Source organism: Homo sapiens, chromosome 6 (genome assembly GCF_000001405.40).
Source record: "Homo sapiens chromosome 6, GRCh38.p14 Primary Assembly".
In the NCBI taxonomy this organism is placed as follows: domain Eukaryota; kingdom Metazoa; phylum Chordata; class Mammalia; order Primates; family Hominidae; genus Homo; species Homo sapiens.
Window position 1 is genome coordinate 52,065,879 of NC_000006.12, and position 12,857 is coordinate 52,078,735.

At 39.3% G+C, this 12,857-nt stretch overlaps 1 protein-coding gene and 1 long non-coding RNA gene across 21 annotated transcripts in view, besides 3 other annotated features; one reads left to right on the plus strand and one right to left on the minus strand.

Annotated features, from left to right (window-relative positions):
• The window catches only part of PKHD1 (PKHD1 ciliary IPT domain containing fibrocystin/polyductin), a 472,317-nt gene that overhangs the window by 450,580 nt on the left and 8,880 nt on the right, over positions 1 to 12,857 (minus strand). For 17 of the 20 annotated variants that reach the window (XR_001743469.2, XM_017010944.3, XM_017010947.3 and 14 more), the window contains exons 6-12: positions 10,398 to 10,455; positions 7,585 to 7,663; positions 6,237 to 6,311; positions 5,128 to 5,192; positions 4,528 to 4,567; positions 3,579 to 3,649; positions 98 to 199 (exon numbers count right to left, since the gene is read on the minus strand). Coding sequence is in view for 19 of the 20 variants with exons in the window: in XM_017010944.3 (XP_016866433.1) it covers positions 98 to 199; positions 3,579 to 3,649; positions 4,528 to 4,567; positions 5,128 to 5,192; positions 6,237 to 6,311; positions 7,585 to 7,663; positions 10,398 to 10,455 (490 nt within the window). In the remaining variant the exon portion in view is untranslated. The other 3 variants (XM_017010945.3, XM_011514684.4, XM_017010948.3) reach the window with 3 other exon arrangements.
• LOC124901327 (uncharacterized) lies at positions 5,125 to 6,901 on the plus strand. The gene is made up of 3 exons (XR_007059606.1): positions 5,125 to 5,213; positions 6,628 to 6,737; positions 6,809 to 6,901. It is a non-coding gene; the product is annotated as an uncharacterized LOC124901327 (long non-coding RNA).
• Positions 10,722 to 11,292: an enhancer, noted in NCBI's record as "OCT4-NANOG-H3K27ac hESC enhancer chr6:51941398-51941968 (GRCh37/hg19 assembly coordinates)". NCBI's record gives its function as "activates a minimal SCP1, AML or CMV promoter by ChIP-STARR-seq in naive and primed H9 embryonic stem cells {active_cell/tissue: H9 hESC(naive and primed)}" and the evidence as "EXISTENCE:reporter gene assay evidence [ECO:0000049][PMID:30033119]".
• Positions 10,953 to 11,247: a silencer, noted in NCBI's record as "tiled region #305; K562 Repressive non-DNase unmatched - State 24:Quies". NCBI's record gives its function as "represses a minimal TATA promoter and a strong SV40 promoter by Sharpr-MPRA in K562 cells {active_cell/tissue: K562}" and the evidence as "EXISTENCE:reporter gene assay evidence [ECO:0000049][PMID:27701403]".
• Positions 11,293 to 11,861: an enhancer, noted in NCBI's record as "OCT4-NANOG-H3K27ac hESC enhancer chr6:51941969-51942537 (GRCh37/hg19 assembly coordinates)". NCBI's record gives its function as "activates a minimal SCP1, AML or CMV promoter by ChIP-STARR-seq in primed H9 embryonic stem cells {active_cell/tissue: H9 hESC(primed)}" and the evidence as "EXISTENCE:reporter gene assay evidence [ECO:0000049][PMID:30033119]".

Here is a 12,857-nt window from a genome sequence, read left to right on the forward strand (position 1 = left end):
AGCTTGCTTCCTCCTGCATCCCTCATGCCATACAGACATATAATCTCCTAGAGCATCTAAAACTATGAACTATTTTCAGCCATTTCATCATAGTTACCTGCAATGGTAACCTGGGCAGAATTGTCAAAAAAGTCTCCTGTAATTGTGATGTTTGTTCTTCCCCCAAGGCTCCCAGTTTCTGGAAACACAGATAATATTTCTGCAAGAGTTAAAAAAAAAAAAAAGTAAGCTTCCAAATATAGACCAGAATATGACCTAGATAATAATATAATAATAGGAGATATTAATAATTTCTTACTTTAACTTTCTAAGTCCAGCAACAGTTGAATTTTTTTCTAGTAATAACTATTTAAAAATGCACATAATAAGAAAAAGACCAGAAGTATATATTATCGAGGATCAATATTTGAAAGGAAGGGGAAATGTGGAATCATTCATGGTATCAGCAAAAGCCCCTAGTACCATGACATTTTCTCAGAAAATCTGTCTCCTGACCTCAAGGACAATATTGACAAGTCAGGGAACAGTAAGTTACAACACAAGGAGGAATCAACTTTGGGTACACTGGGAAAGGCTTCAGTTCACCCATATGAATCTGTAATTTGCTCTAAGCAGAAGAATGAATTTCACTGTCTTTAGGACCCTCCCACTCTTTCCCACACTGAATGCTCCTTCCCCACATGTACCTCACACCTCATACCCAGTTCTTTCATGCTGCTCCTGATTGTTTAAAATTGCCTACAGTGACTCAGGCCTGTAATCCCAGAACTTTGGGAGGCCGAAGCGAGTGGCAGGTGGATCACCTGAGGTCAGGAGTTTGAGACCAACATGACCAATATGGTGAAACCCTGTCTCTTCTAAAAATACAAAAATTAGCCGGGTTCCGTGGTGTGCACCTGTAATCCCAGCTGCTTGGGAGGCTGAGACAGGAGAATTGCTTGAACCCAGGAGGCGGAGGTTGCACTGAGCCAAGATGGTGCCACTGCACTCCAGCCTGCGTGACAGAGCGAGACCCTGTCTCAAGAAAAAATAAAATAAAAAATTTAAAAAAAGAAATTACCTACAGTAATATGACACATAGTCCTCAGAATTTAGCTTTATCTCATTCTTTCCTCTCCTACGATCAAGCTTTGACATTTCTAAGATTCATTCCCTCCAGAGAAAAGAGGAGTTGCATTTTGTGTAAACTGAAGGTACAAAAGCTAATGATGAATGGTTACCCCTGAAAAATAGACATTTTAGGAGGTTATTTTATAATGCTTTTTGCCCATGAGACAAAGCAGAGGAGACATATGGAGGCAAAGATTGATCCCTTACACTCAGATACCAAAATTCACCACTAAACCATAATAACCCCCTGCTTTTAACCCACTATTTTATAATTTCTTTTTTTTTACACTAGCACTGGAATTTTGTATCAGCTTTACGTAGAGATTAACACATTCTTTTGTTATGCATTCAAAATTACACAGATCAAAAACAAAATTTATGAAGTTCTTAAACTTTTAACATAGTTGTAGATATTTGATAATTTTTTTCAACATTCACAGAGCACCTATTATATGGTACTAGGAATATAAAGATGAATACAAAATAGTTCCTGTCCTCGAGAAGATCAGCATGGTAAGGCAGGTATGCAAAACTATCATTTAATACCTTGGGTCGGAGAAATTAGAGAGTATATGAAAGAATAGAGAACTTTGGGAGTAGGATGGGAGTATTGAGGTGTAGAAGAAAATGTTTAGAGATGACACTAATCTGAGTCTTAAAGGATGAATTAGAAGTGGCCTAGCGAAGAGGAGAAGGAGAGGGCATTTAAAGCAAAAGATAGCCTGAGTGTGGACAGAAGAAATTGCACAGTGCATGTTAAGTGTGGCTGGAGTATGAGAGACAGAGATAAAGCTGGAGAAACAGACAAGGAGGAGGTCAGAAGTTTGCCCCATTTCCAGTAGGGGATAGCAAGCCATAAGAGGATGGTGAATAGGAAGGAACCATGCATCAGATATATGCTTGATGTAGAGAAAGCCAGGGAGGGGCTTGAAGGGGCAGAGGGCAAGTCAGGGCCTCTAGAAACCACTGCAGCATGTAACACAAGAGGTGATGGGGTCCAGAAATGGAGAGTTGCTGTACAGATACATCATAAATAAGAGAGAAAACTGGCAGAAATTGGTGATTGAACAGATATGGAAAGGAGGAGGAAGGAGAAATTTTAGATGAATTCCAAGATTCTTGCTCCTCTACCTCTTTAGACGACTTTTGGAATAAGAAGGATAAGCACCACTTTGTCAGTTTTAGAGATGCTTAATTAAGGCTCAAAAAGCTTAAAAGGCTTAACTAGTGATTGAATGTCAGCCCCTGAGGAGCTCAGCCCAGGGCTCTTCATGGCTGTCTACACCCTCTCTTCCTACAGCCTGCTCTGCTGTGAAGAAGTTCTGGCCTGTGAGTCCTGATCCCAAGAAGACACTGCCCTGGAAATGTAAAAGAGCTGTGTCATCAGAGATACCTGTCAGCCTATCAGTCATTCTAGGGTTTGATAGCAATGGGCAGGCTCACAAAAACCTTGGAGTGGAGTGGCAAGAAGAGTGTGCTTCCCACCATATATTGGCTATGGACATAAGATTTGGAATTAGAACTACACATTCTAGCTCTAAGACCTTTGGCTTTGGACAAGATACTTTGTTTATCTGAGTCTGTTTCCTTATCTGTAAAATGGGGCTAATGTTAATCCATCTCATAGTTAAGTGAAATTAATATTGAGATTGTATGTAAGACACTTAACAAGGTCTGACATTCTTTCTATAGCAGCTATCGTTATCACCATCACCTTGGGCGCTTCTTCAAACTTACCCCAAATAGACTAGCAATACTGTTGAAAGAAAGGAAAAATCAGGGTCAAAATGCAGCTGTTGCAGGATTAGGCTATCTAGAGAGTAAATGACATTTTCTCCATGACCTGTGAATTATCTTGCACTTTTGACAAAGGTAGATTTTGATTGCTTCTGGAATCTGAACCAACCCCACAGACATTTCTTCAGTGGCTGTGTGACTGTATTCCATTCTAGAATCTAAGTATTCTTTAGTAGCCAGCTTTCTACTACCAAATCGAGTTCACAATTCCAAGCAAGCTTCCAATTTTCACATTCATTTTTTTAGTATGAGGGTTTACTCATCAGATGGCAACAGAACAGCTTAATATCAATATTAGTCATAAATTATTGAATGAATGCTCAGAGATGGATGTTAAAGTAACTGGAAAGATGTGCTTTAAGACTTTTTAAGTGCCACCTTTTTTCTTTTACTTTCAGAAGACAGAATAAGGCAAGACTCTCCTTTCTTTTATTCAGTTTATATCCATAGAATTTGTATAGAAGTTTATTATCAAGTCTCTTTTAATATATTAACTAAACCTGACATGGATACAAGCAATTTAATCTCAACCAAAAACACCAGGCTGTCTATGATTGTAGGGACAGCTTCGGGTGTTAATGGTCATCAAGAAATGGCCAAAAGATAGGGAAGGAGGGGCCAACATTGAGTGAGGCACAAGGGAAGGGGTACTTGGTGAAGGGGGATAGTACCTGAGTGTGTCTGGTATAGGAAAAGATCCTGTTTAGCACTGATCAGCCATGCCTTCTTGTGGACCATTGACCTTCGAAAAAGACAAAGTTCTGTTTTGAATGAAAATATCAACTGGGATTGCATTTTTTTTAGTCGGCTGCCTGAAAGGAAGATTGGGAACTAACCTCTATTGATCTTTAGAACAGTTGAAATAGCAGCTCCCTTGGATAACTAAAGAACAATACCAACAGGACAAAGTTGTTTTCTGATATATAAAATTATCATATGGGAATAATGCCTGCTTCATAGGATGTCCCAAATGTTCAATGAAATGATGAGTGTGAAAGGGCCTAGTCCTTAGTTGGCCTATAGTCAATACTCAATAGACATTAATTTTATTTCTTCCAAAATGAGAAAGAGAGAAAATCTCCATACTTTGGGCTGTATAGCTATAATTGTCACTGTCATTACAAGGCAATTATTATCAATTAGACCCTACGCTTTTAACAGAAACACCTGTCAAATTATGTAGGGGCAAAATATAAGGTAAGGATTCAGAATTCCAGAATGCTAATTTATCACTTCAAAGTGTGATAAAATGTGGACCCCTTCCATTTTCAAGAAGGCACTTCCTAGATGGTACAATGTATTTCATGAAACCATGTTCCTTATAAGATACTTGTGACAGTTTTCAACCTACAGTACTTTGAAATTACTTAAGATTTAATTCCCAAAATTCTGCAACACCACCATATTGAAACACACATTGCCTACAGATTAGTGAAGAGGACACAACTTCATTCACCCAGGTAAAAAAGTCAAGGAGTTATATGTGGTCTCATTATACTATTCTGTTTTTATATGTTTAACATTTTCCGTCATAAAAAGATAAAGAAAGTAAGCAAGATGAGAGAGATAGGTAATATAAAATGAAGACAAATTTGCCTATTTCTATACCCAGTTACTTACTTTCCTTTGTTAAATACTGAGAAGCTAACATTCTGGGAGCCTGTAACACAAAGAAACACACATTAACTCAGGAATCTGCACGAGTCTTCTGGGCCAGGCCATTGCTTTCATAAGCCCAAAGACTCCAATATCATCAAATTACCACCCAAACCTGTAATTTCTTTAGTGGTTCCCCCCCGCAAAAACAAACAAACAAACAAAAAAACAAAAACAAAAAAAAAACACCTCATAAGTTTAGCATCATTAGCAATGTGGACTTCTAGCAATAAAAGGGCAAATGCAGTATTGCATAGCAGGGAAGAGCCCAGGCTTCGAGTTAGATGGAGCACCATTTAAATATTGATTTACTGGTAACTAACTTCAATTTTTCTCACCTGCAAAGCCAAAAATAATACCACCAACTTCACAGGTGTATGTGAGCATTAAATTAGTTTCTATATGAGCTGTTTCATATAGTAGTATTTTCCAGGGAATTCTTAACAAATAGTAATTATTGTTATTATTATTATCCTCATGAGAACCAATCTTGCAATTGCTTTTGTCCGGATACAGAGAAAGAAATGGATAAGACTTTAAAATTATGTTACTTCTCTAACAGACCGATGTAGTCGCCTTCCACATGGCACTGCAGAGTCCCAAGACCATGGTCCTCCTGAATAGGATAACTAAGGAAAAGACAAACTGAGGTAAGAATGACCAGACAACTCACTACCAGAAGATCTGACTCTTTAACCAGGAAAGTAGAAAGCAAAAGAAAACCAAATTTGCTAGAGAAAATGGTAGACAGAGAAAGTATAATGAGTTCATTAGGGCAAATGCTTAGGGTAATACTAACTAGTATTACCCTTTATATATACTAGTTAGTAATACCCTAAGCATTTGCCCTAGTGCTAACTAGTACTACCTTAAGCATTTGGTCCTTTCTTTTCAAATGTGTCATATGACAAGTATAACAAAACCTTTATTTTTAAAAAATCTGTTATCAAGTATGAACCCCATAAAGGACAATTCTGAGCAAACAAAATGCAGACACAAGGAAGACTACACACAAGGGCAGAATACACACCAGTCTGAAAAAGTGAAACCATAGAGTATCATTCTTGTAATGGCCTCAAAGGAGGGGCAACACACCCTGTCCAGAGTGAAGTAAAAATCCAGCAAAACATTGGGTATTTAAACTGGAGAGTGTAGAAACTTATTTCTAAATTTTTTATTATTTTTACCTTTGGCTAGTCACTGAAGTATAGTGGTTAAGATCATGAACTCTAGGGGATGATTAGTTAGACAGGGTTCAAATCCCAGGTCTGCCACTTGCTCTCTGTGAGACCTTGTGCAAGTTACTTAACTTTTCTGTGTCTCAAATTCCTCATCTATAATGTGAGACTAATAACCATACATACTCCCAAGATTATTGGGTGACTTCAATGTAAAGCATTCGAGCAGAGCTTGGCCTATGGTAAGCCCCTAACAAGTATTAGCTATGTGTTTTCAAGGAAGGTTTTGGCATCCACTTCAATACGCACTTTGAATCAATCCCTGTGTCTTTTTCAGTAGTCTAAAGATAAGGTAGTAAATAGCTATGTGTGATTTATATTTTAAAAAAACAGATATATGGTGAGTGGGGAGAGAAAGAGAGAGAATGTGTGTGTGTTGTATCCATGTGGACGAACTTACAAGCATGTGCATTGGCAAGATAATAAGACACTCACCAGCTTCCCATCTGCCTATTTATAAGAGAGCAAGGAGTAACCCATTTGTCTCCTTGAGCTTCCAAGATCACTGGGCTGGATTTAAAAAAAAATGAAAACAAAAGACAAGAGATAATTGTGCAATACTCCCAATAAACATTCCTCACAAAACTCAGAGGAAACATGGCTATGAACACTCTCCTCTGGATTTTTCTGCACTATTGCAGGTGGCTGAAGGCGGATGTCAAGTCAAATTCTCAGCAGAGAGTAGGGATGCACTCATGGCTCATGCTTTCACACTAAACAGAAAATAGTTCTCCCTTCCCAAAAAACCTTCATCATCTCCACACTGGCTATATTGATTCTACACAGAGATAATATTGCATTTATGCCTTTATTCCCCCTTTCAAAGGCTGTATCCCAGACCAAGGCTGAGATGGGATCACCTAGCAAAATATGGCACATTCCCAAGGATGTAGTAGGAGTTTCTACCCCCCACAAGAAGAGTAGTTTTCTTGTAAGGTAAGTTGACCATTGCTTAATGCCAGAAATGTCAATCCTGAGAGTAATAAGATCATATTCTCTTCAACTAGGGCAAAATCAGACAGATGGAGTAGAACAGAAGAGGATGCCCCCAACCCATCCAGAGTGAAGGAAAAATTAGACACCATGTATGGAATCTATGCAGCTGAGTATATAGTAAGATCATTTTCCTTCTACCTTATAAATGCTCAGTACAATTGCTTCATTTGTTGAATGATTACAGTTGCTTAGAGCTTCCTACAGCCTCTACAATTTCAACACTTTTTGTCTTGTTCTCTCTCTCCAGTGTGGATGATTTAATAGTAACACTTTCCACCACGTCTCCAGTGAAGAAAGTCATGTTGACATCCTAATCATTCCCAGAAAACATTAAAAGCTCTATGGCTTTTAATACCTGTGTCCATGTTTTCCTCTGACCCCACTAATACAATTTTTAAAGCACAAATGGATAACAACCAAATAAGAAAGTTATAATGGGCTTTTGGGTTTACACATCATTTTATAAAGAATCTATTTCAGGCTGAGAAACAAAGGAAGGAAGGGTGAGAATTCAAAAAGAAAATCCACAGATGCAATTACAGTTCATTTCACACTGAGCCCAGAGTGACTAGTTGTCAGTAAATAAATGGACCAACTTAATTGACCAGTTGCAATTACATTAACAAAGTTTGCTGAAGCCCAGCTCATGAGGGACCATAAACTGCAAAAAGGAAAATAGCAATTCTGTGCCAACTGCTTACAATTTATTGCCATCAGGGAAGCTGGTCCCAGGAAGCCATGCAGCATGTATGTAACTAGTTAAACACAAAAACAAACACACACTTACCTATCAATGTACTCAGCATCAAAATCAAAAGTTTCCAATCTTCCAGTGATAATCCAGCCATATACATGTATTAGTTTTCCTGTTTGAAGAAGAATTTTTTTAATTTAATGGACTTAGCTCAAACTCAATGTATAATAAAAAACCATGTTTCTTTTTGGTTGTATATACTCAATATGGCAAAGCAGGTCATGGCCCAGAAAATTAATACTTTTAATAAATTGTACAACAGTAAGGTCAAGGGTATGATTTAGTGATCAATATTACACAATATAAAAGCTAAAATAAGCAATTGTTTCAATCACAGACTTAATCTTCTAATGCATGGAGCATAGAAGGAATAATGGGTCTTCTTCACAGTCTCAGATTGTGTGAACATTTCAGAAAGGAGGGGCTCATCTCCACACACTGCCCTGTTCCATTCTCTTGGCTCTGTGGAGACCATCTACCCAACACGAGATTTAAGGACAATGTGCCTTGGGTGCTCCAGGCTTCATGAGACTTTCCTCTGGGCATTTGCTAAAATGAACATGTGATATGAAGAGGCTCATATCACACAATCTGATGGGTCTTCAGGGATCCCAAGTATGTGCCTTCCAAATAATTAGAATATTTAACCATGTATACTTAAACCATCACAGACAATGTTTAGAGATAAAAGAATGTTGGTTAGTGAGATAAACCTCAAGGAATAGAAGAGAAAAGCATACTGAGGGACTCATGAGGTCATGAAATCCAGAAGACTGAGCCTCTTTATAGACACTGAATGCCACCAAAGAATGTGACAAAAAAGATGTTCCCTTCCTACTGCACTTGTGTGTTATTAGTAAGAAGTGACTTTCATCTGCACTCATTGGATGACTCTCACTAAAACAACAGAAATCTTTCGGAAGGTATTACAGCCACAATTTTATAGGTGCATGGGTAGAATGACCTAATGACAGGCAAAGGTCACAGAGTTGGCAGAAATCCAGAGTCTCAAGTTTCCTGTTACTGCTAAAAAAAATCTGGCAGAATAATTCTAATTTTAATAGGGCTAAATGATCGATTCCCTAGCCTTGGTGAGTATGACTTCTAGCTTTGACAGGCACAATTTTAAAACTAACAAAAGACTGTAGAAATTAGGAATTTCTGTGGGTTTTTGTTTTGTTTCTAAACGAAGATGGCCAGCACAGGCTGACAAATGGCCACACCAGAGCACGGTGATGGGGGATTCCATGTCGTAGTGAAGGACTGCTAACCACGTATAGAAACCCAACTGCTCAGAAAGCATCGTCTCTCTTGTCCCTACCACCTCCCCCATCTCCCTGGCTGCTACACTGGGCAGGCTTCCCAAATGAAATGAGAGTATTCATCTGGAAAGTGATTACAAAGATGCAGTCGTATGGATCCTGCCCAGGGGGGACCACTCCAACCCAGCCCGCCACCAATCCTTTCCCCAGAAGGTGGAAGAGACACCGAGCAGAACTCCAACTTGGTGGAAGAAATGGGCTTGGCAGATCTGGGCGCCAGCTGACATTCCATTTCACACCTCTAATGGCTGTCTGCTTCCTCATCCCTCACCCTAACAAGACTTCTGCCATCTACACAGGAGTTTCTAACATCAGAGCAGCAGGGACCCACATGTCTGCATGTGATTTTCACAGACCACATCCCTCTTTCATAAAATATCAGGTCCCAATGATTCAGACAAATGGAAAGGAGCAGATCTGTGAAAAACCCACATGAGCAAGAGCATGCCAAATTCATATTCTCTGAAATATAATTTAAATTCACTCATACATAATCTGTGTCTATACACACAAACACAGAAAATATAAAACGCTTTTCAATAACTTAGATCTTCATTTTGACATGCTTGAGCAGTTGAGCCAATCAAAACAACAAGATCCGTCTATGCATTTAGACACAACTATAATAAAAATTTAGCAACTTTTTAGCACACTCTTACCATTTTGGAAACTCTAACAAATGGAAAACCTTAAATAAAGGTAGGAATTTGGCAGGAATCAGACAGCAAATTATATATAATCCTAGTTGTGTTTGCTACTTAGTTTTAAGGCAGATTTAGCAATTCCTGAATCCACTTCTCAGTTGCAATCCCTTCTTTTATGTAAATCCCCCAGCTTTATATAATCTTCTTTTCTATCCTCCTGGCTTTTAAATATCTGTGTGCTCTCTAACTTTATAAACAAAACCCCTAGATGAAGACTAGAGTTAATGACCTTCCAAGTGGCATCCAATGCTGCTCAAAATATGACAGAATGGTGGATATATGGGCCACTCTGGATTCTGGCTGTCTGGTTCAAATCTCAGCTGTGGTATTTAGTATCTATATGACTTTCGGCAAATTTCTTAACCTTTTGCTACCTCATTTCTTCAACTGCAAAATGGGAATAAAAATAGCTCTTCTATTATCAGGTTTTGGCGAGGATCTAGTAAGATATCTGAAGAGCTTAGACTGGAGCCTGGCACACAGTTTAATAAAGGTTTATTATTATGGGAATGATTATAAAGTTAAAAGCAAGGATGACTCCTCTTTCCTCCAGTCTCCAACATCAACTCATTTGATTTTGCTGTCCTCTTTTTCTTTTCATGTTTGGATTCCTTTTGTTATCAGTGAAGTAATAGAGCAAAAGTGCCCAGAGGTAAAACCAAAGCACGTTAAAAATGAACCAGAGGTTGACTCTTATTTTCAAAACAGCATCAAAGAAGAAGTTAAATTTTCCCACTCATAAAAACCACTCACCTAGGTTTGCAACAAGCTTTGGCAAACAGATTCACAATTATTCCTATTTTAATAGAAGATTTCTTACCTGGAACACCACTTGGTGGATAAACTTGGTGAACGATGGGTGTCTGCGCCTTGGAAAACTGTTTAGAAAATAGTACCACAAGTGAGCATGTCATTAAAATATTCACAAACACAGGAGGCACAAGCCTTTCCTCAGACAGCATTACTTGAAGGTAATAAATGCTTATATTTACTCATGTCACCCTCACATCTGTCTAGTTCTTTTTATCTTTGTAATATTTCTATGAAACAGAAATGATAGATATTATCATATTTCTCCTATAGATGAGGTAGAGGTAATTTGATTAAGGTCACATAGCCCTCTATTCTGTACCATATTGTCCAAACCTTGACAAGCCTGTTTCTACCTGCCCACCTTCCATACCCAAGAACACATTTTACTAGAAGGAAAGGTAGACAGGTCTTTGTGCAGAATGTCAGTCTTTTAATTCCATTGTAATTTGATGTTTTGGGGCCTTGAAGATTTTGATTTTTCTAGAAAGGAATGCACTTATTTAATTGAATCAAAACTTCAAATCATTATCAGCCAGCACCTTGGTAGGTATCAGTAAGCTACAAAAAAATGAGAAACTGGATAGGCACACAACTGAGGTGCTTACTAGGGAAACTGAAGATACCTGCTGTGAGGGAAATGACTCAAAAGATTCAAGGAATGGGAAGCAACATTGTTCTTCAAGGAGGAGGAAAGCAGCCTCAATGGGAGCAGTGAGAGCCTGAGAAAGCCTGGCGGTAGCATTCCAAATCATCTTACAATGCCCCCTGTCCCCAAAGCACACCCTCTGTTAACCATAAGCTCCACAAAGGCAGGGACAATGCTTGACTGAGTCGCTGCTGTGTCTCTGTGCATAGACTGGTATGCAGACGACATTCGAATTTTTGTGAATGAAAAGAGTCACCCAATCTGGGATGACTGATATACTGCCTGGAAGGAGAGGTGAGAACGAGGCAATCCCAGGAACTCCATCTCACCTGTAGGCATCTGTGTTAGTCTAAGATTAGTGCATTACTCCATCAGGAAATCACAGCAGGGCCAGTATGAAGAAACAGGAAAGCTTAAGGATGAACTGGCCAGACCAAGGCTTGACCTGTGAGCCAATTACTTACCTAGGAAGAGACCTAGTCTCCCCTTCCCTCCCCTCCCCCAATCCCTTCTAGATGCCTAGACTACCACCATTCCACACAACCTACAGTGCTTCCCATTTGCAAAACAAATTACAGCAGCAAATTGTTTTGTTTGGTCTGCTTCCAGCACCTCAGGAGTCTACCTTCCCAGAGAGAACATCACCAAAGAATAACTCGGTTGTTAATCAACAGCCTTAATCAGATTGAGAATCAACAGACATTTCAACAAAGCTGATGGTGGCTTGCCAGGCGTAGGTTTTAAGTATTGATCCATATGCTGTATAGTCTGCCATGAAGGCTAGTTTCCTCACTGTCTAAAGGAAAGGGTTAGAAAATAGTTCACAGAAAATATGTGGTGTCAGGGGGTCAAAATAACAATGTTGTTACTTCACAGCTTGGGAACTGGCTCTGATCTCACCAAAAGATAAAGATTAATACAGTTACACACACACCTGCCAAACATTCAGTCCCCACCCCACCCTCCCAGCCAACCACTGCCCCTAGGCCTTCATATCAACATTATTTCAACTGGACTATATCATAGGAGCTTAGTGAAGTACAGTAGTGGTTATTGACCTATTTCACAGATGTTTAGAACCTGAGGCAGCTGGAACAACTGAGTCCAAACCAAATAAGGAAGCATACCTCTCTATTTCAACCTGAAATCTAAGAGCCACCACTCAGTCTATAATCCTTCTACCAGACTTCCATGGGAAACACAGCAACTCCTTTATTACTCCCTCCCAGCTCGTGAGATCGTGGTGGGGCAGGCTTGGGGTTAAACCTCAAAAAGGGCTTCACTTGTGATTCTCTCTGAGCTGACACAACATAACATGGTACGTTTCTAAGAGAAACAGGCCCCTGGTCACCCACCAGGCTAGAGACATGACAAAGTGAAAAATTAATGAGCTTCCAAATCAAGCTTCCCGCATGCTGATCCTCGGGCCCCAGTGTGGTCAGTAGAAGCAAAAGAGGGGAGAGGAAATGCAGCAGATTAGGATGAGAAAGCTGCAGCCACCAGCTGTGTGATCAACCTTCTGTGAGTTATTCAAACTTGTCAGCGCCCACAGCAGGCTCTTTGCAGTGGACTGGCAAGATGGGATTAATTTTTAATACTCATGGTTCCCCAGTCCCAGTCCCAAAACAAAGAGACACGCCGTGTTTTATTTAGCCTGGAATGCCTCTCATTAACTGCATCCCCTGGTGATTTTTCATCAACTTGCCAAGATAGTTGAACCACTGACGGACTTGTTTTCTTTCATGTGCAATTTTAGGAAACGTTTCTCTTATTTCCCCCTCTCGCTCCTAACCAATCTTTTAATAAGCAGGAAAACTACCA